Source organism: Homo sapiens, chromosome 11 (assembly GCF_000001405.40).
Source record: "Homo sapiens chromosome 11, GRCh38.p14 Primary Assembly".
NCBI classification, from domain to species: domain Eukaryota; kingdom Metazoa; phylum Chordata; class Mammalia; order Primates; family Hominidae; genus Homo; species Homo sapiens.
In genome coordinates this window covers 2,090,202-2,115,774 of record NC_000011.10, presented here as the reverse complement: position 1 = coordinate 2,115,774, position 25,573 = coordinate 2,090,202, and the positions used below count along the sequence as shown (strand labels likewise).

The window sequence follows — 25,573 nt, the reverse complement described above, 5'->3', positions numbered from 1 at the left end:
GTCTCCCTACTGCCCCAGGTCAGGCCTGAGGGCTTGCTTGAGGGTACAGTTTTGAACTACGCAGGTGGAGGACCCAGCCTGCTGCCCAGCTCTCCTGCCTCCCCAGACTCTGGGTGTGAAGGTAGGGCTTTCGCATCACATTTCTCCCGCTCATGGGGCTGGGCGTACCGAGAGCCCTCTGTGTGTGTCTCCCTAAATGCTCCCCATGTGTCAGGGGCAGGCTCTGTGCTTACCAGCCCCACCCGCCAGGTAAGAAGACTGAGACCGCAGCCGGCGAGTGAGGGGCAGGCCGGGGTTACTCAGGGTGCGACCAGGAGGCTGCCCTGTGTGTGTCCCCTCTGGGCCATTGCTCTGGCCCTGGTGCCCCTCCCTTCCCCTCTACGCCTCCTCCACCAGGCATCTCCCCCACTCAGGCCCAGGAAACACCACCTGGAGCTTGGAAGATCCCTCAAGGAAGGAGGGCGGCTTGGAGGAGGGAGGCCAGTATCCTGTGTGCGGCCTCCCTTCTCTGTCTCCCAGAACAGGCCAGTCTCCGCCGCTGAACCCACCACTGGGCAGTGGCGAGGAAGGGCTTCTGTGGTGCCCCAGCAGGACCCCATCAGGTGTGGCTGGCTCAGGGCTGAGTCGTCTCTTCTTTCAGCTGGGCAAGATCCTCCCACTAGGGCCCAGTTCCTGTCTGAACGCTGGGTCCAGGCCAGGGCCCGTGTGCCCAGGGGTGTCTGGGTCAGGCCCTCCATGCATCCCTGTCCTGGGAATGCCGGGGCATGAGTCGGGGAATCAGCTGGCACTGTCTCAGAGCACGAGCACTTCCAGGCGCTCAGGGCAGACGGCAAGCCCAGCTTGGGCGAGGCCTTCCCCTGAGCGCCTCTGGGCCTGGGGGGCTCCCTTGTGGAAAACATGGGAGAGGAAGCCTGAGGGGGTCGGCTCCTTACTCCTGGTCTTTCCCGCTCACCCAGCGCTCCCCGGAAACTCCTTCCTGCAGCACTGGGATCTGACATCCCGGCACGTTCTGGAAAGTTCCTCACTGAACGTTGTGCATGAGAAGAAACTTGGGGCAGGGCCCGTCCAGCTAGGAGGCGTGCACCCGCCACTCTCTGCTTGTGATTAGCAAGGAGGCGAGGGCTGTGCTCTCTGCGGTTCACCAGGGGGTCAAGAGAATTCCCAGATCCAGAGGAATCCCACTGCTGCCAGGCCTGAGACAGAGGGCCCTACGGGATGGCTGCAAGCTCGTGGGATGGACTGCAGGAGGCCGTCCTGGCCTGGGCGAGTAGGAGATAAACCACTGCCAGATAGGAGACCGTGCTGGGTCGGGGGATCTGCCTCTGCCAAGTTCGCAGCCTGGTGGGGGAAGCCAAGGAACATACGGGATAGTAAGGAATGGGCAGAGGGAGCCCCAGGAAGTGAATTTCTCTAGTCTGGGCTGGTCGGTGAGGGCTCCCTGGAACCTTGAGGAGAAGCTCCAGGAGAATCTAATGGGGAGGGTGAGGTGGTGGAGGGTGGAGGGGGCAGGGGAGAGGGCAGGTCTATGAACGGGGCTGGGAACCATCCCACCAAAGCCTCCTGACAGGGTGGTGTGGCTGAGTTTGGGGCAGGAGGTGGGACTGAGCCCAGGTCTCCCAGCCCATGGGACGTGGGCCAGCTGCCAGTCTCACTTAAGAATGTCCTTGATGAAGCATTAAACTTTATTAATTCTATTAAATCTTGACCCTGGAGTGTGTCTTTTTAATATTCGCGGAGGCACGCTCAAAGCACTCCCACTGTAGCCGGAAGCATGCCAGCGTCCCCAGGAAAAGCTCCTGCACAGTGGTTTGAGTTGCAGGCTCAATGGGCTGCGTGCACCGCTTTTACTGAACCGGCGACCGGCTGGATGTTTCCTCAGAGAAGAACAAAAAGATCCACTTAGAGAAAAACAACTCCTGGATTTTGCTGTTGGTGACCACCTTGGAGCTTTCATGCAAACAGCAGAATTTTGAGAAACTTACAACTGCCCCCTTGAACCAGACGGTTTTCCAATCCTTAAAGACCTTCCTGAGGAGCCTGGTGGGGACAGTCACAAATGTAGTTTTCCATAACAATAAAGAATGGCATCCACTCCTGGAAGAGCTGCCTGATTGTGAGATTGATATTTTCCAAACGATCAATGCGGAACGTTACAGAGGCACACACAGGAAAAGATCCTTGAGGCCGAGGCGGGCGGATCGCTTGAGCCCAGGAGTTCAAGACCAGCCTGAGCAACATGGTGAAACCCTGTCTCTACAAAAAATGTTAAAATTAGCTGGGTGTGGTGGTGCATGCCTATGGTCCCAGCTACTGGGGAGGCTGATGTGGGAGGATCCCCTGAGCCTGGGGAGGCTGAGGCTGCAGTGAGCCATGATCATGCAACTGTAATCCAGCCTGGATGACAGAGCAAGACCCTGTCTCAAAAATAAAAATAAAAACAAAAAAGAGGAAAAGATCCTTGGAAAGTGCAAGATACACCAGTTGACTCGTTCCATAATACACCTTTTATTTTGGAACAATTTCAAGATGACAGACGAGTTGCAAGGATTGTACACACAGCCCCCCTCGCCCAATCCCCCTTTGTTAAGGTCACACCTGACTGTGGTATGGTTGTGACAATTAAGAGTGTGACATTGCTTCTCGACTTATTAATGTAACCCAGGCTTCATCTGGAGTTCACCAATGTTTCTGTTCACATCCTCTTTCTGTTCCAGGATCCCATTGAGGGTCCACGGTGCATTTGTTTATTTTGTTTTTTTTTTTGTTTTGTTTTGAGACGGAGTTTCTTTTTTTCTTTTTTTTTTTTTGAGGCGGAGTCTCACTCTGTCACCCAGGCTGGAGTACAGTGGCACGATCCCGGCTCACTGCAAGCTCCGCCTCCTGGGTTCATGCCATTCTCCTGCCTCAGCCTCCCGAGTAGCTGGGACTACAGGCGCCCACCACCACGCCCGGCTAATTTTCTGTATTTTTAGTAGAGACGGGATTTCACCATGTTAGCCAGGATGGTCTCAATCTCCTGACCTCGTGATCCACCCACCTTGGCCTCCCAAAGTGCTGAGATTACAGGCGTGAGCCACCGTGCCTGGCCACATTGAGATGGAGTTTCACTCTTGTCGCCCAGGCTGGAGTATAGTGGTGCAATCTTGGCTGACTGCAACCTCCACCTCCCAGGTTCAAGTGATTCTCCTGCCTCAGCCTCCTTAGTAACTGGGATTACAGGTGCCTGCCTCCATGTCCAGCTAATTTTCATATTTTTAGTAGAGACAGGGTTTCACTATGTTGGCCAGGCTGGTCTCGAACTCCTGACCTCAGGTGATCTGCCTGCCTCGGCCTCCCAAAGTGCTGGGATTCCAGGCGTGCACTACCACGCCCAGCCCCGGTGCATTTGGTTATGATGCCTCTGTCGTTTCCTAAACTGAGGGACTGTAACATCACGGAGTCTCTAAAGGTCATGGGTTTCAGATTCTGCATTGCAGCTAAGCTTGAAGAAATGACACTTGTCAAGTTTTGGTGTAGTAGCAAAAAGAAAATCTACAAGCGCATAAGGCCATTAAAGTACCAGCGCCCCCCACCCCCCACTCCCAACCACGTATGTTCGTAGATGTCCTCATCTACATTCTTCCCATGCGCTGGCCAAAGCCTGCAGAGGCGTGATGGGAATCCGCTGCCTTCCAGCAAGCCACAGAGATTCGCAAAGTGCAAAGACATCTCACTCTTCTCACGGAACTTGCTTTGTTTTGAAAAGCCTAGTTGTCTTTTGTAAACAAATATTTTATGTTAATGTGTAGTAGTGAGTTTATTATTGCTGTTGTGATTTTACTGTTTTGTGTTCATTTGTTTCATATGGTTTTGAGTCAGGGTCTTGCTCTGTGGCCCAGGCCGGAGTGCAGTGGCACAATCCAGGCTCACTGCAGCCTCGACCTTCCAGGCCCAAGTGATCCTTCTGCCTCAGCCTCCCGAGTAGCTGGTGTGTGCCACTATACCTGGCTTTTTTTTTTAATTAAGGATATTTTAATGGCCTTATGTGCTTGTAGATTTTCTTTTTGATTACTCCTCCTTGTAATTCCAGCACTTTGGGAGGCCAAGGTGGGAGGATCACTTGAGCCCATGAGTTCAAGACCAGCCTGGGTAACATAGCAACATAGCCCAGGCTGGTCTTGAACTCCTGGGCTCAAGTGATCCTCCCGCCTTGGCCTCCCAAAGTGCTGGAATTACAGGCATGAGCCACCATGCCCAGCCTCTGTTGTGACTTTTAAATTAATTCATTTAACCTATTTTTAAAATTTCTAATATTTTAAATATTGAAATATTTCAATGTCTTAGTTGTAACTTCTAAGACAGTAAATATCAGCAGGGGTGACCCCGTATCAACCCACTCTCTTTAAGGACTTGTTCATAACTTTGGGGAATGCAAGAGGCCCTGAGGCCGGAACATTTGAGAACCGAGGTCGAAGAGCCCAGGCTTAGGGGCCAGTAGCTGTGCTTATAATTAGCAGAGGGGCAAGTGTTTTGACTGTTTCAAATCCTGGAGTGTTGCCTCGCTTTTCTGTTCCTCAGTGTCCCCCTGTGCAAAAGCGAGCACCTGAGCACGGGGCTCCCACCGGATGCGCGTGTAAACAGCCTGGCTCGGGTTTGTTCTCCACAAAGGGAGCTGCTGAGAGTGGCATTAAAAAGTGATGGACAGACGGTCCTTGGACAAGAGTAAAACTGGGTTAGGACTACAGAAAAATCACATGGAAAGCACAGTGAGTTCCCATGGACCTCCTGCCTCATGCGTCCACCACAGTTTCCCCTGTTATTCACATGTTGCAATATGTGGGCCTTCTCTTAGAATTGACCAGCCAGCACCAGCACACACTGAGGTCCAGGCTCACTCTAGGGGTTGTGCATTCTATGAGTTTGGACGCAAGTTATCATGCCCTATATCCACCATCAGACTATCAGACAGAGTAGTTTCACTGCCCCCACAGTCATGGTTCTGCACCTCTTCCTCCCTCTCTTCCTGCAAACGCTGGCAGCCACCGGTCTTTTCACTGTCTCCATAGCTTTGCCTTTTCGAGGACGTCATAGAGGTGGAATCCTACGGGCGTAGCCTTTGCAGAGTGGCTTCTCTCACTTAGTATCATGCATTTGGTGCTCCTCCATGTCTTCTTGCGGCTCACAGCTAACTTCTTTTTAGCACCGAATAACATTCCTCGGCATAGAGGTACCGCTGTGTGTTTACCCACTCACGCACTGAAAGATCTCAGTTGCTTCCAAGTTTTTGGTGATTATGAATAAAACTGCTATAAATACTTGTGAGCAGGTTTTTATGTGGATGTAAGTGTTCTCTTTGATTGAATTTTATTACAAATTACTAACACATTATCTCAAGACAATGCCTGAGGCAGCTCCTCTGTGCTCCTCTGCTGGAAGGGCTTCTGAGATCCTACGCTGTGGTTTTAAATTGTAGCGTTCTTTTTTTCTGGAGTTTTAATGTTCTTTGTGTAGGTTGCTGGTTCCACTTCCAGACTTCCACTTCTCCTCCCCAGCCTATATCTCCATCTTTGCATCAGTACCGTGAGGTTTTAATTATTGTTACTCTAGAACATGTTCTAACTTCTGGCAGGCTAAACTTTTCTGCTTTAAGCCCCTTCTATTTTAAAACATTTCTTTAAAACTTGCCTCACATCTTCCTTTCTGAACCTGGCTCACAGAGACCCCTTCCCCAACTCAATGCCACCAGAGTGAGCTTCTGCAGGCCTCAGCGCCCCAGCTGGGCTGTGGCAGCCCTTTGAAGGCCCTTGACCTGCCCAGCATGGCTGCCAGCTCCTGCCCACTCCCATTGTACCCCATGAGAAGCCCAGCTAGTTTGTGTGCTCTGGGCTGGGTCTTGGCAGCCTGGGTGGAGCAGCTGAGCCCACCGTGGCAGAGAAGGGTGTGTGCTGGGAGCCCACCCTCCTCTGACCTGCACGGCTCCACTGGTCAAGCGCGAAGCCCAGGGGTTCCTGGCGGGGGAGTTGCAGCCTGGCCGTTTCCTGGAGGGCTGGGACTGCCCAGCCCAGCCGAGGGCCTGGCTGCAGCGCCACCTTCTAGGCAGCCCGCATGCTGAGGCCCCAGCCCTCCCCTCATGTTCAGGGAAGACCAGCTGCTTCCTGTTTGTGTGAAGAATTCGGCTGTTTTCCCGAGTGGTGGGTGAGGGTCCAAGCACCCAGTGGGACGGTCGCTCCTCGTTTCTGTGGGGCCTGCTGTTCTGAGGAGAAACTTAATCACTTTGTTTTCTTGGTTTAGGTTTTGCTTTTTAATAATAAAAAAAAAAAAAGACCCAGCTTGTCTGCAGCCCCAGGGCCCTGTGACGTTCCTGGCATAACAGGCGTTACTTTTACACGGGCTGCTGCAGTGGGCGGCTGGCCGGGAGCTCCCGGGGAGGGCAGTGGGTCTCATGGACTCGGCCCTGCCCAGCTGGGCGTGGGCACCGCTGCCCGAAAGTGGGGGGGTCTGAAGGAGCCGACCCCTGCGTCCCGTGCTGGCTCAGCCGGGCTCCCTGAGGGCCCTGACCCTCTCCCAGCCATGGGTCAGTGCTGGGGAGAAGGTTCTCAGATGCCGGGGAGGCCTGGGAAGGAGAAGAGCCTGCAGGCTCCCTCAGCAAGGGCTGGCAGGTCTGGGAACCGCCAGGCCACCTGACTTCCAGGGCAGCCCCTCCGGGAGTCAACACCCGCCCCCTCTCCCAGAAACCCAAGCCAGGAAAGATGGGGGACAGAGCCCTGGCACCCCCACTCTTTCTGGCACTCTCCCCTCAGAGGCCTCAGCTGCTGGACAAGGTCCTGGGCTCCCTGGGTTGCCCTCTTGGCCCAGGCTGGGGATGGAGAACAACGTACAGTCGGTGCCCTGGTGTCCCCCAGGGCCTCAGGATGCCTCCCCCACCCTCCACCAGCTGTTCTGCCTCCCAGCCGGGCCCTTCCCTATCCCACCCAAAACGCTGGCTCTACCCTTCCTGCCCTGTGGCTGGGGAATCTGCAGAGTCATGGGGCCAGGGAAGGGGACAGTAAGGAGGGACCCCTCGTCTATCTCAGCACTGGAGGGGTTCAGGGTCCAGGGCTACCCCAGAAACAGTCACTGTCTCACTGAAGAGCTCCAGGCACACCTTGCCCCTGGCGCTCAGGGTGGCCTGAGCTGAGCCTATTGTGGGGAAGGAGGAGGGGGCTGGAGGTGTTGGCTGGGCCAGGTCACCAGGTGTCGGCAATGGAACCACAAGAAGATGGTCAGTCTGGGGCTACCTTGCCCACTGCTTCTCTCACTTCATGTCATTTGTGGAAGAAAGAAGAGCATGTCAGCTGCAGGTCATGGTAGCCATGGGCCTAGATCTGCACTTCCAGGAATTCGGCCACTGTGCGGCCCCCCTCACATTAACAGGATGGATTTGTGTAACCAACAGTGGGAATGACGGCGGGTGACTTCTGAGGCCAGGTCATAATTGACACTGCAGCATCCTTCTTCTTCCCCCACCTCTCTCCCTTCACTCCCTCTGGGGAAAGCTGGCTGCCATGTTGTGAGGATGCGCAAACCTCAGAGGTTTGTGTGGAAGGACTGAGCATCCCTCCGACAGCCACACTAGGTTGCCAGGCATGAAGGGGACACTTCAGTCCAGCAGGACCTTCAGATGGCTGGGGCCCAGGGCTGGTGGCTTGGCTTGGGGTGTCAGGGGGTGGCAGCCAAGCCAAGCCACAACCACCAGGCTAAGCTGCTCCTGTACTCCTGACCCACAGAAACTGAGATGATAAATATCCATCACTTTAAGTCTTTATTGTTTTAAGTTTTGGACTAATTTATTCTGCAGCCATAGGCAACGAACACCGTCTTCTGGCAGGGGTGAAATAGATGCAACTAGACCAGAGGGGACAAGGCTGGTGCAAGGAAGGCTTGTAAGGACGGAGAGTTGGAGGGGAGCTCAGGAGTCCTGGCCTTGGGTCTGGCCTGGCTCTGAGGCTCAGCAGCTGTGAGCGCTGGACAAGTCTGCCTCCCACCCAGATTAGCCTGGGTGATGAGTGTGGTGTGTGGCAGAGGCGAATAGCCTATGATCACACAGGGAGGACCAGTGTGAGTCACACAAGGGACAGCAATCAAGGGTGACATTGGAGGAACTTGGCTTGTGGTATGGGTACAGGGGACACCAGGGAAGCCTGCAGATGGCTCAGAGTGGCCAAGTCCCCAGAGCAGGCACAGAGGAACAAATCAGAGCATGGCTCAAAACAACGGGCAGCCAGCACCTGCACAGTCCAGCTGGGTACATCTCTTTTTGCCCTTTCAACACCTGGGGCCCAGCAGTTGTTCTCAGGTCAGTGTGAGTGGTCTGGGAAGACAGCTGCCCACCTGGGCCTTTCCACTTGGCTACGTTCCTGGCTGGCATTCAGAGAAAGGGCATCCACCCATCCATTCATCCATCCATGCATCTATCCATCCATTTATCCAGGCATCTATCCATTCATTCATCCACCCACCATCCACCCATCCATTTATACACCCAGTCATTATCCATGTATTCATCTATCCATCCATCCTTTCTTCCATCCATCCATCCAAGCATCTATTCACTCACTCCTACATGTATCCATTTATCCATCCATCTATCCATCCATCCATGCATGCATCCACCCATTCATACACCCACTCATTCATCCATGTATTTATCTATCTATCCACCCATCCATGTATCCACCCCTCTATGCATCTATTCATCCATCCATTCACCCACTCATTCATACATCCACTCATTCACCCATGTATCTATCTATCTATCCATCCATCCATCCATGCATCCACCCATCTATGCATCTATTCATCCGTCCATTCACCCACCTATTCATACACCCACTTATTTATCCATATATCTATCTTCCATCCATCCATGCATCCACCCATCCATGCATCCACCCACCCATTCATCCATCCATCCATCCACCCACTCATTTGTTCATGTATCCATCCACCCATCCATCCTTCCTTCCATCCATGCATGCATCCATCCATCCATCCATGCACCCATCCATGCATCCATCCATCTTCCTTTCCTTCCTTCCTTCCTTCCTTCCTTCCTTCCTTACTTCCATGAATCCATGCATCCACTTATCCATCCATCCATCTGTTCATCCATCCATCTGTTCATCCACCCATCCATGCACCCATCCATGCACCCATCCATGCACCCATCTGTGCACCCATTCATCCTCCCTCCCTCCCTTCTTCTCTTCCTTCCTTCTTTCCTTCCTTCCTTCCTTCTTTCCTCTTGCCCTCCCTCCCTCTCTTCCTTCCTTCCTTCCTTCCTTCCATGGATCCATGCATCCACCCACGCATCCAGCCATCTACCCAGCCAACCATTTACCCATCTACATACCTTTCTAGCCCCCACCACATACTCACATGGACATCTGGGGGAGAGCATCTCATGGCAGGAGCAGCGGGTACAAGGCTTGTAGAGAGGTGATGTGGCGTCTCTGAGGAGTGGTGGATAGGGAGGAAGCATGGGTTGTTGAGAAACACACCTGAGAAACCAAGGGGAGCTTGCCCAGGAAGGCATCAGGAAGCCCTGAAGGGGATGCAGCTTTTTCTTGGAGAGAAGTGGGGCTAGTGGAGGTCTCTGCTTAGGAGTGAAGGGATCCTGTGGCTGCTGAGTGACCAGAGTGCAAGAGGAGAAGTGGAGGCACCTGCTGGGATACACACAGAAGGGAGTGACTGGGAGGGACTGGTGGAGGAGTGAGGGTGGTTGCACCCTGGTGTGTGCTGAGGGCAGAGTGAGAGCCTTTGCTGAGGGCCTAGAGGAGTGAAGAGCCCAGAAGGCCCCTGGGAAGGATGGCATCACCTGACAGAGAAGAGGAGAGGCAGAAAGGTACATTTGGAGTTTCAGGGCTAGGCGGTCATGTCCACAGAGGCCGGGGACATCCGTGAGAGGGGAATAATGGACAGACAGCACCTGCCAGGTCATGTTGCCAAGAGGCCCCTGGCCAGGAGCTCAGACCAGCCTGGGCAAGTGGTCAGGTCCTGGCTGCTGGCTGTGGCCTTCGTCCTGCTGGCCTCTCAGATGTCACAGGGAGCTCTCGGAGCCTCTTGAGCTGTCCCCCAATGGGCTGCTACCTGGCTCCGAGGCCTGGTCCCAGCCCCACAGCCCCAACTTGGTGTTCCTTCAGGGCAGAGACAGATGGGACAGGGGTCAGTGAGGGGAGGAGAGTTCTCAGGAGGCGGTGCTTGGGCTGGGCCTGGGGAGGGAAGCTCCAGGGTGCTCCTGGGGCAGCAGGGTGAACCAGCTCTGACGTTTTCTGTATTAAGGAGCATCTGAGAAGGGAGAGAACAAACGCTTCGCTTTTCCACATCAGGCACAACATGATCGGTCATCCGTTTTCATTCCGGGATCTGGAAAACAGCTGATTCTGGAAAGCTACAACTTCCCTAGGTGCAGAGCTCTGTGGAGAAGGGCTCCCGCAGGGCTGGGGGTGGGAGCTCAGGCCCCAGGCACTCCAGAGCTGGCTCAGGAAAGGGTAAGGCTCAGACTGGGCCTGGAGGGAAGAGCCCACCAAGGAGGAACCAGTCTCCACCCCCTGCCTCTGGCCAGGTTTCTATAGCACTGGTGACCAGGACACTCGAGCCTCTGGGACCTCAGTGGGCTAATCCGGGACTAATCCTAGCAACAGGCTGGGCCTGCAGCCACATGATGGCCGAGGGTTGCTGAGCATGCACCCATGACCCTTCCCAGGGGCCTGGCCACAGTGCCTGGTTTCCCTCTGTGCCCTGGCATTGAGTGGAGTTGGCTCCAGGAGCAAGGCCCCCTGGGCCTTTGGTCCCTTTCCTGGGCCCAGCTCTGGGCCACTGGGGTCCCCATGGCTGCCCTCACCTGGGGGTTGGCAGGATCAGCGGAAATTAACAGGTGAGGGAGGCCTCATGCATGAAGCACGGCTTCCTGCTGGGAGCGGTGGAAACCTGGGGATTTCGGGGCGGGCTCAGGGATCCTGATACACTCACTTGGGGCCCTGGGCTGGGGCAAGGCAACATGGTGAGTCTTCTGGGCCACTGGAACCGTGAGGAAGGACAAAGCTCTGGAGGCCTTGACCAAGGAGGCCTGCTGCGCGTGTGTGTATATGAATGTGTGTTTGCATGTGTGGGCGTGCGTGTGTATATGAATGTGTGTTTGCATGTGTGGGCATGTGTGTATATGAATGTGTGTTTGTGTGTGTGGGCGTGTGTGTATATGAATGTGTGTTTGCATGTGTGGGCATGTGTGTGTATGCATGTGTGTCTGTGCGTGCATGTGTGTACCCCTGTGTGTGTGTGTGCGCACTCCGGCACGGGAGGGGGTTGTGCCCCTGCCTCCGCGCCCCAGAAGCTCTGGTTCCATCTGTGTTCTTGCTTTTCATCAGTCAGCCATCATTTGTTAATTCATTCATTCACCCATCATTCATTCAGCAATGGTCAGGAGGAGCCAGGAAGCACCCTTGTCCGTGCTGACCCAGGCTGTGGGTCTGTTGTGTTGGCCTCAGCAGTGTCTGGGCATCAGCAGGTGAAAGGGTGCCTGAGTGTCAGTGTGGGAGCGGCCTCCACTGAGAACCACAGCTCCCCGGGAGTACCCTGAGCGGCAGCGCTCTGTTCCCTGCTCTGCCATCTCCTGGACCCATGCCCTTCCTAGCTGCTGGATCAGCCTCTGCCCAGGTTGGGCTGCAGGTGCTGGGTCCAGGCCTCCCCGGGGTGCCCCTCGTCAGGGGTTGCAGGCAGCCCCTGCGACCATGGCTGGAGCTGGGCTGACCCGGGCTCAAACTCCTGACTCTTGTGCCACTTACTGTGTGTCTGCGGGAAAGCCACTTAATGGAGACTCATCCTCAGTCTCCTTGTCTGGAACAGCGACAGTCCTGACTCCTTCAGGGTTTCGAAGGTGATGCTTGTGGAACACGCTACTGGCACCTGGCCATGGAGGGCGTGAGGGACGGCCACTGTCACTACCCAGATTTTCCCTGGGCCAGCAGTGTGGGAGCAGATGGGATTTGGAGTGGAGCACGCACAGGACGGCCCTCGTTCATTTTGAGTCCACACAGGCCTGTGTCCCCAGTTCCCGGCCCTGCCCCTGCTCTGTACTGCAGCACCCCTACCCTCAGAAGAGACCCCTTATTTCCATGTGGAAAGCGCTCTTTGGGCTCTAAGTGGCTTCCCAGGAGGGCAGAGCCCCTGGAGCCATCTCTGGGTTTCCAGGAAGCCCACTGGGAGGGTGGTGGATGGTGTCTCCAGGGCCGTGGAACACTCTGGCTACCCTTAGCACGAGAGGGGGAGATTCTCTGGTTTTCAGCTTGTCCTTCTGTTCCAGGGACAGCTCTGTGGGAGAGGCTCTCTCCTGCCAATGCAGGAGACAGAGCTGGAGCAGAGGAGAGCCCCTGCTTAGGCCTAAGAGCCCCAGCTTGGTCACTGAAACTGGGAGCCACGGTTGGGTTGGAAAGTCTGGTCCTCCGTGCCCTGGCAAGGGCAGACTTGGTTTTCCTTCCTACTCTACTCTTCCAGTCTCCTCCTCTGCCAGACTGGCCATGGTGGGTCAGAGAGAGGGGCAAGGAAAGGGAAGTGGGGGGACAGAGCAGGATGACCATAAGGAAGAGGACACAGGAGAGAGAAGGGGATGCAGGGCCTTCCAACTATGGACTTGAAGAAGAAAGACGAAAACAAGAAACCAAAGTCATGTCTTGGCCAACAAACCCCCAGCTCCTATCTCCCTACAGAAAGAAGCTTGGGGGAAACTGGCTCCAGGAGCCTTGGCTGCAGGGAAGGCAGCATTTCCACGACTGAGCCTTTTGCAAACTATGTGGGTCCTGCTCTTTTTGGCCCTCCTGCTCCAGCCCCCAGCTCCCTGCATCCAGCTCTGAGGGCCCCAGAGCCCCATCAGATGTGGAGGGAGCTTGGGTGGAGCAGGGTGGAGGTGCGGCAAAGATCAGGCCAGGCCTCATTGTTTAGAAAAGAAGGAACTGACTTCAGCTCCGGGAGCAGGGCCTCCCACCCCACCCGGACTTCCTGCTCCCTGGGCCTGCCAGTGCGGACTTTGTCCACCTTATTTGGGGATTGAGAAGCCACACTGCTCTATGGCCCTGGGGGTCATGGCAGAGAACCAGAGACTCACAGAGTGGAGGGTGCCTGGCAATCATTCTCCATGATTCAAGGTTACAACACCTTAGCCAAAGAAAGTGCTATTTGAGGATCCATTCATTCCTCCATCCAACTGTTCATCCACCCTTCCATCTACCCACCTGCTCTTCATTCATCCACCTACTTATTCATACGTCTACATTCATCCTCATGTCTCCACATCCCCCACTCACCCATCCATTCATCCTTTCCTCTACCCACTCATCCTTTCATCCGTCCATCCATCCATCCATCCTAATCATCCATCCATCTCAACCATCCATTCATCCATTCACACACCACCTTCCCATCCACTCATCCACCCATCCATCCCACACATCCTTCCACTCACCTACATATTCACTCATCCATCCATCCATCCATTCCAACCTCCATCCATTCACCCACCTACCCATCCATCGATCATCCATCCATCCATCCATTTATCCATCCATCCATCCATCCATCCATCCGCTCACCCATCCATCCATCAATTCACCCACCCATCTATCCACCCACCTATCTACCACCCTTTCCACCACAATTCTATATCATCCAGGTTTGATAATTGGAAGCCCATTGCTAAGAAAACTTCTTGAACAAGTTCTTTGGCTAAGAAACAAGAGGCTGCCTCAATTTACCCACTGCATCTGTGTCTTATGGATTTGAAGTCATCATAAGTCACATCTAAGACCAGGACCAGGACCTGAGACTGTCCTTTCAGGACCTTTTATTTTCCACAATGACAGTGACAGACACACACAGGGAGCACTAAGGCTGGGGTCCCAGTGGACGTCAGTGTGGGGAAGAGTCTCTCCTGGCTCTGTGTGGCCTTTGAAAGACACCTCATTCCTTTGGTCTAGGCTTCTCTGTAAAATGGGCTGCCAAGATGGTTGTGCGGGTCGATGGAGAGAAGTAATCTGCCTGTCTTTGAATCATTGCCTCCAGGTGAAGGTCTCCCCTCTTTCTAACTCTAATCTAAAAACCCATGAGGTTGAAATCCTCAAGCCCCAAGCGACACCTGTGAAACGGCCCAAGAGAAGCGTGCCATGAGGCAGCAGGAAGGGCATTCCAGGAGGAGGGAACAGAGGTGAGAGAGACGCCCTGACATTTGGGGACCCAGCAGGGAGTTTGGCCTGGCTGTCACTGGAATGGCAGCACAGGTGGCTGGAGAGGAAAGAGGGGCCAGGCTGAAGGATCAGATGCCCCTGGGAACACACAGGAGCTGTGGGGTGGGCCAGGTGGGGTTCCTGAGGGAGGGGCACAGGTGGGCCAGCTGGCCGAGAAGAAGCTTCCTCTGCAGGGTGGCGAGTAGAAAGGGGAGTGAGCCCCACCTGCATGGCTGCCGAGGGGTCCAGTGAGGGAAGGTGGTGAGTCCAGGGACCCAGCTTCAAGTGCCACACGGGTCCCGCTTGGCCATGCTGGATGGGAAGGGTTCTCCTCTGGTACACTGTGTCTGGAGGCCCCGGGTCTTCCTCCCTTGGCCTGGCAGGGTGGTCCCTCCCGCTGCTCGGCTCTGTACTAGGCTTGATCCCCTGTCTTGGGTACAGTCCTGCCCCAACCTCCCCAGGCATCCAGTCCCTCCTGTCCTGCCCCATGGAGTCTGCAAACCCAATGCCCTTGGCTTCTCCCTGCCTCCAGCTTCCGTCCTTCAGCCCGTGCCAGGGGCCTGCCCGGGAGGTCTCTTGTCACCAGTCCCCAGTGCCAGTCTCCCACTCAGCAACTGTGGGGCACCTGGAAGGACCTGTGAAATAAACCCCTGAACCCTGGCCCAAAGCCACTGCCCCCCAAAACCTGGACTCAGGGAGCTCAGCAGAGCATGCAGGACTGCAACCGGCCTGGGCTGTCCACTTGTCCTGCGGGCTTTGGGCTGGGGAAGGGCAGACGGAGGGGCAGGGCCAGGCCAGCCTAGGAGGCCCCGGGGTGCAGAGTGGGGCCTGGTTGCATCAGGGAACCCAGGGGCTCTGGTCCCCTGGGCCCAGCAAGCTTGAGATGGGCCTGGGCACCTCCCTCTCTGCACTGGGCGGGCTTCCTGCCTGGCCCCGGGAAGTGGCCCCCCTGCACCTCCCGCAGACAGGTGACGTCAGCGTCTGAGATAACAAGGCGGCCCTGCCGGCGTCTGCCCCAGCGTATGCCCACTGTAATCTGGGCTGTCTGGGCACAGGGGCCACCTTGGCTCGGTGAAAAGCTACCCTCGCAGTGAGCTCCGGTGGGGCTGAGGAAAACACGTCTGCAGGCCTAGGCGGGGCAGGCCCCAGGGGCGGCTCTGCCTTGCGCCCCCTAAGATCTGTGCCAGAACTGAGCTGTTCTTACTGGGGCACACAGGACCTGAAGCCCAGCAGGGTGTGCAGTCAGTAGGTGCCCAATAAATGTGTGGATGAGCCAAGGAACCCTGCACGAATTAGTGAGGCTGAAAAGCAGATGATTTAGAGGCAAGAGAGGCCGGAGGAGCCTGGGCTTCTCCAAAGAGGAGGACAGGATGCAGGGCCCCTGGCACACACAGCCCAGCCCCCACTCTGCCCCGCCCCCACCCAGGCCAGCCTCAGGCAGCCTGTCCTCCAGGCCCTGCTACCACTGTGGCCTGTCCTGTGGTCTGACTTGGCCTGGCAAGGGCACTCGGGCGCAGGGCCAAGAGTGTGGGGCCTGCCTTCCTTGTAGCCCACTCCAGTCTCCTCCGCTGGCCGGGGAGGGCAGGGGAGCAGCTGCTGGAGCTGCGGCTGAGAGCGGGTGACGGGTACTGTTGTCAGGCAAGGCGGGGGTGCGGCTCCCGCTTGGCATCCTCCACCAGGGCTGCAGTGAGAGGCGTGGCCAGCAGGTGAGCAGGCAGAGGAGTGTGTGGGTGCACCCAGCCCAGCAGCCTGGCCACGAGGGCCCCCTGGCACCCAGGCGCTGCTCTTCATCAGAGTCTGCCCTGTGCCAGCTGGCAGGGCCAGCATAGGGATGTTTCACTTACGTACACTTCACAAGGGAAGCGGCAGGCTGAGGAGCTGTCTGCTGAGGGCCAAGACCTGGGGACACGCCACAAGTGGGGACAGCAGTTCCTGAGGATCCCAATGAGCCCTGGTGGGAGGGGGCCATGGGGAGGGTCCCAGGGAGCAGGTGCTGGGCACTGTAGCGTGTCTGGGCCAGCTTTGACCCTCAGGAGGGTGGGCTGGGGTCAGCCAAGCCGCTTCTTAGAACCTGGGGATATCAAAAAGAGCAGAGCTGGCCTGCTGTGCCCAGCACCAGCCAGGACAGGAGACAGCAGGGGAGGGGCACCGGCATATCACCTACTCAGGGCTGCAGGAGCTGGGTGGGGGCAGGCAGCAGGCACCAGGAAAGAAGGGGGAGTGATAAGGGATGTGGGCTGAGACTGGTGGGAGTTCTGGGTTCAGGATAAGCTTGGCCACAGCCTCGAGGAGAGAGGAGGAAGTCCCCACCCCAGCTGGACCCGCATTTCTGGCCATGTTCAGACGCCCTGCGGTCCGGTCTCCACTCCAGGTGCTCTGTCCGGGCAGGAGGCTGTGACGCACCCTCTTTGTCAAGGGGCATTCAGGGATAAGGCTCCTACCTGCAAGGAGCTCACTCTAGAAGGGGAGCGACTCTGAAGCAGACAGGATGGGGCCAACCGCGTGGGGTGAGGAGGAGGCATCCCAACCGGGAGGATGGGGAGGTCCCTGCAGGGGGTCCGACCCAATGTGAATGCTCGTCTGTCATGATGGCCGTGGAGGGGCAGGATCCAGGAGGGGTGCTGGTGGCGCCAAGGGGCATGAGGACTGGGCAGGACGCTCCTGAGCTTGGTGCTGGACCTGGAAGCCTTGCTCCCAGGAGGCCTGATGCCCCTGCCTCCTGCCCCAGTCCTTGGCAAGATGCCCGTGGTCCTGGGTTGCCCCTGCCCACCGTCCACCAGGGACCCCCAGTGTGTGCCTGCCACAAGAGGTACAGGGTCACCCACCCCCGCGTGGCAGTTAGTCCACCTCTGTGAAGGTGAATTTTCAGCTTTCAGGTTCCCCAGGTGCCCTGACTTCATCAGAAAGGCCCTGTCCTGCACCCAGCCCAGAAGGGCCTTCCTGCCTCTCAAATCTGGGCCTGTATCCCAGGGCCCTGCTGGAGCCGGGGGGACGCTCTGCGACTTCCGGCAGCACATGTGGGGTTCTGTGCCCAGGCAGGTGATTGGTTTGCATCCTTGGTTTGGGGTATGCGTGGGAGGGCAAAGGGGCCTCCAGTGCTGGCCCTTGGAGGCCCCTTCTTGGTCAGCATTTCCCTTTCTCCAGGGGACCTTTCTGGACTAGACACTCCTTTGGTTTCAGAAATGAAGGAAAATTTTGGAAGACACTGGCACAGGGGGCTGGAGTAGGAGTGGTCACCAGGGAACAGCATTTCCGAAGGCTGGAACAGCATGCATGCAAGGACGAGGGGGGAGGGCAGGCGCCCAGAGGGCCCATGTGTGAGGTCGGCAGGTGTCAGGACTACAGGGGAGAGACGAGAGTGAGGGCCTCCCCTAAGATCCCCTGGCAGCCTTTCTGGAGAGCGAGATGATCCCATGTTGCAGACCAGCACCTGACTCCTGGACCTTCCTTGCCCGAGGCCACAGAGCTCAGGCAAGAAGCTGTGCTGCCTGACCCCGCAGCAGTCTCTGTGGACGAAGGGAGGCAGAGATGCTGGAGGCATGTCCTGGGTTTGTGCTGCTCTCTCAACTCACGTCCCCTCTTCCAGGGCCTCCTCTGTCCCCATCACCAGCTCCCGGTGCAGAGCTCACCCAGAGAGGCATTGCACAAGTTGACCTCCTTCTGCCCTGGCCTGGACCAGCACGGGCCAGAGTGGGGAGGGCCGGGGGAGCAGTCCAGGCCAGGACCTCCAGCCCCGGCCGGTGCAGCTTGCCCGGCCCTTCAGCGGCTGCATCCTCTGCTCTGTAAAGGCACATTCCTGAGGCTGCGGGTTAGCGGCCCCCCTTGGTGAGGCATTAATGAAGAAATGGAGGCTGGCCTTGTGTAACCGTGACAGCCAGATCAGAGCAGCCAGGGCGGGCGGGCAGGCGCCCGGACCTGGGTGGGGAGGGCTGGGACGTGGCCCTGCCCTTGGCCCCCGCCCGCCTGACCCCCAAGCTCATGGTCTGTGGCTGCGGCATGCCTGAACCCTCCCAGCCTCCCCCGCAGCGGGAAGCCCGGGGCTGGGCCTGCACTCAATGTGTCCTGAGTGAGTGTGTGTGTTTATTCTTCATCACTGAGCCCGCGCGTAGTGCGTTCGTTTCCTGATGTAGTAAACATTTTAGAAGGCCAAGATCCTCTCCTTCCTGTCTCTGTGCCAGCGAAATTCCCCAAGACCAGCTTGTCCTTCGTGGAGTGCCAGAGCTCATCTTCCCGAGGGGAGATCGGGGGGCTCTTAGACCCTCCCATTGGCGCCCCCAAGGCCTCCCCAGCTCTCTGGGCCTCCGCATCAGTGCTGTTCTCCTCTGGGCCAAGCAGCGCCTCCCGATGCCTCTTGGGGCCGGGTGGGGCGTTCACCGTGGGCGGGAGGGCCGTGGTGTGCGGGTGCCCCAGACTGGGAGCCTCAGAGCCTCAGAGCGGGCCCTCGGGCCAGCAGTTGGAGCAGGAAGTCCCTGCATTCGGATCCCAACTTGGTTTCTTAAAGCTGCGTATTCTGGGCCAAGGAATCTGCCTCTCCAGGGGAGAACCCCAGGCAGTGAAGACTGTCAGTGCCCGTGAGCAGGGCAGCTTCCTGTGGAGTGGGCAGTTCACGGAGGGGTATGGAAGGGGTCTAGGGAGGAGCTGGGGATGCTGTGGGGCAGACAGCCTGGGGGCACAGACTTGAGGGGCATGCTGCCTTGGGGGTTCAGCCTCTGGTACAGCCTTGGGTGGCACAACTTTGGGGGTGCAGCCTTGGGGTTGTAGCCTTGGGGTTGCAGGGGTAGGTCTAAGGCAGGCCAGGGCAGGGTTGCTATGGCCAAAGGGGACCCACTGTGCCCTGGAGCAGGCCCTGGGTCCCCAGCTGCAAGGGCCTCTGCGGGACACGGGCTGGGGTCCCACATCACGTGGCTGTGTGTGCTGACATACAGGGCCTGTCACCCCCCCATCTCACGGATTCTCCAAAGGACTTTGGGAGGTGTGAGGGGCAGAGAAAGGGAAACTGAGGCAAAGAGAAACCAAATGACTGCTAGGCAGGACGGTGGGGGCCTGGACCCAGCAGCCCGCCCCCCACCCTGAGCTCCTTTCGCAATATCACAGCCGGGACTGGGGAAAAGGTTACCCTGAGGCCCTGTGTGTGATGTGCATGCTGGCGTGCGTACGTATGTGCAAGCATGTATGTGCATGTGTGCAGGTGCGTGTGTACATGGGTGCACGTGCGTGGTCCCTGTGTGCACGCTGCAGCCCAGGCATGGGGCCTGTGCTCCTCACCCAGCTCTATCCTCACGGCTTCTATTTTCTTATACATGTCTGGCATTTTTTGCTGCTGAGTTGGGGGGCCGTGGTTTGGGGGGAGGCTGGGCAGTGGGGGAGGGGTTGTTTATGCCAATTGTTCACCCTGGCTACACATTCTTGTGGTTGTCTCTTTAACTTGGTAAAAATTTGGGAAATTTCTAAATAAAACAAAACAAAGGAAAAACATTTTCAAAAGGATTTCAAAATCGGTGCTGCCACTTCCCCCAGTAACCGGACCTGTGGGGCCTGGGAGATGCTTTTGTGAGGAGGGGTCTGGAAGGTGGAACTTTCTAACCACCAGCACCTTTGAAAAGTGTTGTGCTGTGGAGGGATGAGCTTGCTGTCAGGAGAAACATGGAAGCCTTGGGGAGCCGCTGGGCTGTTGGCTGAGACCTGGCCTTCTCTAGAAGGAATCCAAGACATCAGGTTCGTTAGAGGGAAGTCTTGACATCTTTGGGTTCTGGTGGCCAGGACTCTGAGACCCGTCGGGACAAGAGGGGTGGGCAGGGCGAGGGCCTGCAGGGAGCTGGGGCAGGGCTGGTGAGATGAGAAATGGGGGTGAGGAGAGGAAGGAGCTCTTGGCCAGTGAGGACCCACGGATAGGTGTGCACTTGGTGAGGGCAGGTCCTATTGACCGCTGCATTCTTGGTGTCTGGCCTGGGCTGGCCAGAGAAGGCTCTGGAAGGTCTTTGTTGAGCTGGGAGGTGTAAGAGCGTGTTGGGGTGGTTCTATGGGGATGACCATCAGTCATGGTCATCTCCTACCTACCTAAGGGGTAGGTGCCTTAGACCTACCCCTCCACCCCCAACGCTACAACCCCAAGGCTGCTCCCCCAAAGTTGTGCCATATCCCACTGGGGATGACCAGTCGGGCCTGGGCGAGGGGTCCTTGTGGGATGAGAAAGCATGGGCTGCTGGGGACAGAGGCTGGAGAGGGAGGTTGAGGTGGGCCTTGGCCTCCCACAGGGTGACGTGGTGTCCACACGGGGCACAGTGGGGTCCAAGCGGCCCTTTGGCCCCCAGGCTTTTTCCTGTCCCAACCTGGCTGCACCTCTGAAACTCTGGGAACAAGGAAGGGGGACCCAGTATGTGCCCAGGTGGCCTGGACAGACGGCCCTACTGGAAACCTGTCCCTGGGTGCACGGAGTATCCCTGTGTGCCTGGGCCCTGGGGAGGGGCTGGGCATGGAGCCCTGGGAAGCTGCTCCCGGGCTTCAGTTTTCCACTCTGTACAGTGTCCAGTGGGACTCCAGCTCCATTCTGGCCTGTCTTTAGGCCACCAGGCCCTGGGGTCGAGCCTGGGGAGGGACAGCGGCAGGAATAGAGAGGCTCCGCCTCCACCTGATGGGGGTCCCCTACTTAGTGACATGCTCTGGTCTGGTCCCTGGGGTCCCAGGATGAGCTGACCAGGCAGGATTAGGGACCACGTCCTTCTGGGGATGTCCATCCACCCAGGGGCCCCAGGGCACAGGTGGGCCTGGAGTATCCCAGCCTGTGCAGATGGCATGTTCGCAGGGACCGTGCCTGTGACCAAGCCCTGGGGCGTGCACATACCCCTCTAGTCCTTGCCTCCTGCTCCCGGGATCTTACACCCTCGGCCAAACCCAAAGCCCCAAGCCAGTCTCAGAAGAGCCCAGGAACCCCGGGAAGTGTTACACGGGCTCCTTTGCGGTTTCACCTTTCCATTGCACAACCAAACCCTCCGTTTTGTTTGCCAGCAGTTTTTAGCTAGCGATGGCACCCAGCTTTCCCCCGGGACCCTCACGCAAATGTTGGCATGGAGCCAGTAGCTGCTGGGGTCTCCTGGGCAGAGCTGGCCTTAGCCTCCCGGGCCATCCAGCTCAGGGCTGTGCCGCCCAGCATCCAGGCTGGCCTGGGGCACCACTGCCACCCTCCTCCATGCCTGGCAGCTCGGGGACTAGGCTTTGAGAGGCCACAGACACTTACCATAATCCCAGGAGAGTGCCCTGGGCTGTGCGTGGGAAGCTTTCTGGGCCAGGTGCCACAAGGACTCCACGAGTCTACAGCCAGCGGCGTGTCAGGCCATGATGACGATTCCTGACATTCAGGCCCTGGCCAAGTCAGGCTTCTGGTCCGGGGGTTCCTCCTTGTCCTGGGCACTCGTCCTGCATGTTCCTGTCTCTGCCTTTTGCCCATACCCTGCCTTCCCCTCTCTGCCACATGACCTCCCTGAGAGCCCCCATCTCTCTTGTGAAGCCACATGCCAGTCCATGGGGCACTGCCAGCTTTTGGAGACAGAGTCTCATCGCTGTGGCCGGCAGGGCCCTCTTCTTGGGTGAGTGCAATTCTTGTCACTGTGGCCAGCAGGAAGCTCCTCTTGGGTGAGTGCATGGGGGGTCCTGCTGATTGTTTGGTCATGGCCAGGCTGGCGAGTGGGGCGCTGCTCTGTTCCAAACCCCCCAGGGTTCCCCAGCACCTTTGGTCCCAGTCCAAGCTCTGTGGCCTGGTTCTCTGGGTCCTCGCCATCCTGCCTGCTCCCGTGGCCCTCTCCTCTGACATCCACACACCCAGGCTCCTGCCATGCTGGAAAGTGTAGCGCCTGGCCACACCTTGCCTTAGCTGGGCTGGCTTCTCGGTGAGGAGCGCCACCTCCTTTCCTCCCTGCTGCATTTCCGTACCCAGCTCAAATGTCAGTTCTTCCACACAACTTCCAGACCTTCCCAGGGGCTCATTTTTTTCCCTCCTCCGTGGTTTCAGTCCATCTCGGGGCATCTGATTCAGTAGGCACCATGCTAGGCCCCTCCCACACAGCACCTCCTTAGCCCCCACCCGAGGTGGGTCTGTCATCAGCAGGTCAGGGGACTGGGCTGGGGTTCAGCCCCCTTTCCTCATCACCCAGCCGGTAAAGGCAGGAGCTGGTGCAGGGCCCAGCCCCAGGAGGGGCCAGGTGGGACGTGCTGCAATCACAGCCTCACCACCCACTGGGCAGGAAGCCAGCCTGGGAGCCAGAAAGCCTCAAACCACAGGCGGCGGCTCTCACAGGGAGGCTGGCAGCCACCACCTGGCGAGGCCCCAAGCTGCTGCCTGGCTGAGCCAGGGGCTGCTCCAGGCACACTCTGGCCTCGGCTCCCATCCAGCCTGCCAGGCAGCCTCCTCCCCGGGGACCTGGTTGGGAGTTCCACTGGCCCGGGCCTCCTCAGAAGACTTACCGGGTGAGTCAGTTACTACCCGCACCTGGCAGCCTCCTGCTGACCAGGAGCCTCCCCAGCCTCCCCAGAAGCTTCCCTTGTTTGTTCCTTCACCCAGGACCTTGTCCAGTCATGGCTGGGAGCTCTTGCTTGCTTAGGGCCAGGGTGGCTGCAGAGGGGATGGATAGCTTTGCACTGGCCCCAGGAGCTCCCTGGGCAGCTGGCGAGGGCTCAGGGTGTGCAGTCAGCATGGAGCTGGAAGGCAGGACCCCAGGCAATGGTTGGGGTGTAGGAAAGAGGGTTGATGGAGCGGGGGCTTGCAGGAGGGACTAGATGGGGCTGATGTGGGCAGCAAGCGGGGATGAGCCAGTCCTAGGCTGAGAAGCCCCAAGGCAGGGGCTGGGACCGGCTGGGGCTGCTGGAAGGAGACAGTGGGGGCTTGTCAAAGCCAGCCTGGCCTCCCACCTCCCCTGGAGCCCACGGGGAAGCCTCAGCCTCTGCCATCAGGCTGGTCTTCCAGGGGCCCCAAGGCTTGGCATGGGCCAGACTCTGGGCGCTTGCTGCTTCTGCTGCCCTCCGGGAACTGTCTCCCCACTGCCCCAGGCAGGCCTACCGCTTGCACAGTGGTGCTGGAAGGCGTTCCTCAATACTCCAACATGAGCCTCAGTTTCCCCTTCTAAATGATGAGCATCTCATAGTTGCTAGGAGGGTGAAGGGCCTCATGTGTGGACCCCTGGCAGCATACCCAGCACACGGTGGAGCCCTGGCAGCTCTCAGTAACCATCCCACGTATCACCTGGGTGCTTGGCAGGCACAGACCCCGGACCCTGGGCCTGAGAGCATCCACTAGTCAGTCCACAGCAAAGCCAGTTGCGCCAGATTCTCATGCTCCACCAGGCCGGAGGACCAGGGACGCTTTTCCCCTCTGTGCCTCAGTTTCCAATCTGTTAGTGCAAGGCACTCCCACTGTGCACTGTTCTGCCCATCCACAAAGGACATAGTCCCCCGTAGAGGGCTCTGCCTGCCCTTCCCGAGCCACCGGCCCCAAAGGCGCACACCGCACTACCTCCTCCGTCTGCTGTCTTGGGCTCTGCAGCCATGCTGGTGGCTGGGGTGCAGCAGGGAGAGGACAGAGATCCCGGCTCTCCTGTCTTGAGGTCCACATTCCCGTGGGCTGACAGGAATGAACAAAGTAAGGGTGTGGAGTGCCAGCTGTGATGGCAGAGACAGGCGAGTGATGTACCCGCAGGCCCAGGAGCTCCAGCAGCCCCTGGAAGCGGGAAGAGGCAGGAGGGACCCTCCCGTAGCTCCTGGAGGAAGCCCAGCCCTGCTGACACCTGCATTTCTAAATTCTGGCCCCCCAGAATTGGGACAGAACCCATTTCTGTTGCTTTAAACCACCGAGTTTGTGGTCCTGTGTTGCACCCACAGGGGACGCAGATGCAGAGGACTCCTGGGTGAGATGAGAGTGTGGGGTGGGAGCAGAGGGGGCTCCAGCCCTTGCTCATCCTTTGCCAGGGCCCCTCTGGCTGCTGTCAGAGCATGGACACAAGAGTGGGCAGGGCTGGCCTGGCTGCAGGGCTTCCCTGGAGCCCACCTGCTGGTTCTGGGGTGGCCAGGCTCAGCAGAGGCGAAGCCAGCTGGGAAAAGGGCTTGGGAGCCGGACAGGAGCAGGCCCTGTTTTCCTGCCCGCACTGTACCATGCAGCTGTGCTCTGTAATTTGGGGCTGAGGCCACCACACCCCACTTCAGGTGGAGGTGAGCCTGGTAATTACAGCCTGGGGGCCAGCTCCCCAGCCCCCAGCCCCACAGGCCTCCGACCGGGGCTGTGCAGCCAGGACCCAGAATCCAAGCCCCTTCTTCCACCTCCACCCACATGTGAGGCCTGCAGGTTAGCCTGTGGCCCCCTCCAGAGTGTCACTCCGTTCACCCTTCCCAAGCCCCTCAGGGTGTCAGAGATAAAAAGATAATAAATAAGCAAAATTTCAAGTAAGTCATTACAGTAAAAATATAAATAAACCAAGCCCCTCAGGAGGTTGTGCTGTGGGCTGTACTGGGGCCCAAAACTCCCCAGAAGATATGACAAGTCATGGGCTTCCAAGAGTGTGGGGGCCGCCTGAGAGTTTTGGGGTCTGGAGGATGGGAGGGGCTTTTCCTGGTGTGGGAAGACCAGGTGCAAGGTGGTAAGGCGTGGGACAAGGTTTGAGTGAGGGTCCTGGAGGCGCTGGCTGACCCCTGCAGGCCCTCCAGGCCTCCTACGTCCAGTGTCAGCAGGAAATTCCAGGCTGCAGTGGTCTTGGTGGGACCCTGCAAGGTGGCGGCCACTCTGAGCCCAGCCCCAGAATCCGATGTCTTCAAAGCTGCTGTGGCTCTTGTCCTGCCCTCAGCCCTGGACAGCCAAGCCCTGGACATACAAGTGTGCGCATAGACACGGCCCGCTTGCCTCTGTGCGCACTTGCCTGTGGGGATGGCAGTGGCGGTGGCTTTTCATCAGTCCAGATGTTGGAGGCTGCATAGCCAGATGAGCAGGCCTGTGGAGGGGGCCGGGGGGCCGGGAAGCAGGCTGGGGTCAGAGAGCCGATAACGTCACAAGGCTGAATGGGAGTTTTGTGGCCCAGTGTCTTTTGGAAATGATGTGCAAAGCCCAGTTAATCCAGTGGGTAGGGCGTGGTGGCTCCTGGGTGAGCCGAGAGGGGCCAGGGGTCAGGAGGCTACCAGGTGGCCAGCAGGACAGGGGGTACCTGCTGAGCAGACCCCATGCCCGCCCTCCCCATGGCCTTTATGAGGACTGGAGCCCCCTTTAAACTCAGGCAGCTGCTGGCCACAGGTCTGCCTGGCCCTGCCATGCGGGGGTAGGGAGTCCAGGACCAGGCATCCTTACGACAGGGTCTGTTGGCCCAGCATCA

The 25,573-nt window shown here is 57.9% G+C and overlaps 5 annotated features.

Moving 5' to 3' along the window:
• Nucleotides 1,137–1,407: a silencer, noted in NCBI's record as "fragment chr11:2135598-2135868 (GRCh37/hg19 assembly coordinates)". NCBI's record gives its function as "represses an EF-1alpha promoter that drives an FKBP-Casp9 reporter gene in an ReSE screen in phorbol 12-myristate 13-acetate-treated (for megakaryocytic differentiation) K562 erythroleukemia cells {active_cell/tissue: K562(+PMA)}" and the evidence as "EXISTENCE:reporter gene assay evidence [ECO:0000049][PMID:32094911]".
• Nucleotides 14,660–15,301: an enhancer, noted in NCBI's record as "H3K4me1 hESC enhancer chr11:2121704-2122345 (GRCh37/hg19 assembly coordinates)". NCBI's record gives its function as "activates a minimal SCP1, AML or CMV promoter by ChIP-STARR-seq in naive H9 embryonic stem cells {active_cell/tissue: H9 hESC(naive)}" and the evidence as "EXISTENCE:reporter gene assay evidence [ECO:0000049][PMID:30033119]".
• Nucleotides 15,302–15,944: an enhancer, noted in NCBI's record as "H3K27ac-H3K4me1 hESC enhancer chr11:2121061-2121703 (GRCh37/hg19 assembly coordinates)". NCBI's record gives its function as "activates a minimal SCP1, AML or CMV promoter by ChIP-STARR-seq in naive H9 embryonic stem cells {active_cell/tissue: H9 hESC(naive)}" and the evidence as "EXISTENCE:reporter gene assay evidence [ECO:0000049][PMID:30033119]".
• Nucleotides 17,873–18,515: an enhancer, noted in NCBI's record as "H3K27ac-H3K4me1 hESC enhancer chr11:2118490-2119132 (GRCh37/hg19 assembly coordinates)". NCBI's record gives its function as "activates a minimal SCP1, AML or CMV promoter by ChIP-STARR-seq in naive and primed H9 embryonic stem cells {active_cell/tissue: H9 hESC(naive and primed)}" and the evidence as "EXISTENCE:reporter gene assay evidence [ECO:0000049][PMID:30033119]".
• Nucleotides 18,250–18,450: a silencer, noted in NCBI's record as "peak1161 fragment used in MPRA reporter construct". NCBI's record gives its function as "represses an SCP1 promoter by STARR-seq MPRAs in K562 erythroleukemia cells {active_cell/tissue: K562}" and the evidence as "EXISTENCE:reporter gene assay evidence [ECO:0000049][PMID:32103011]".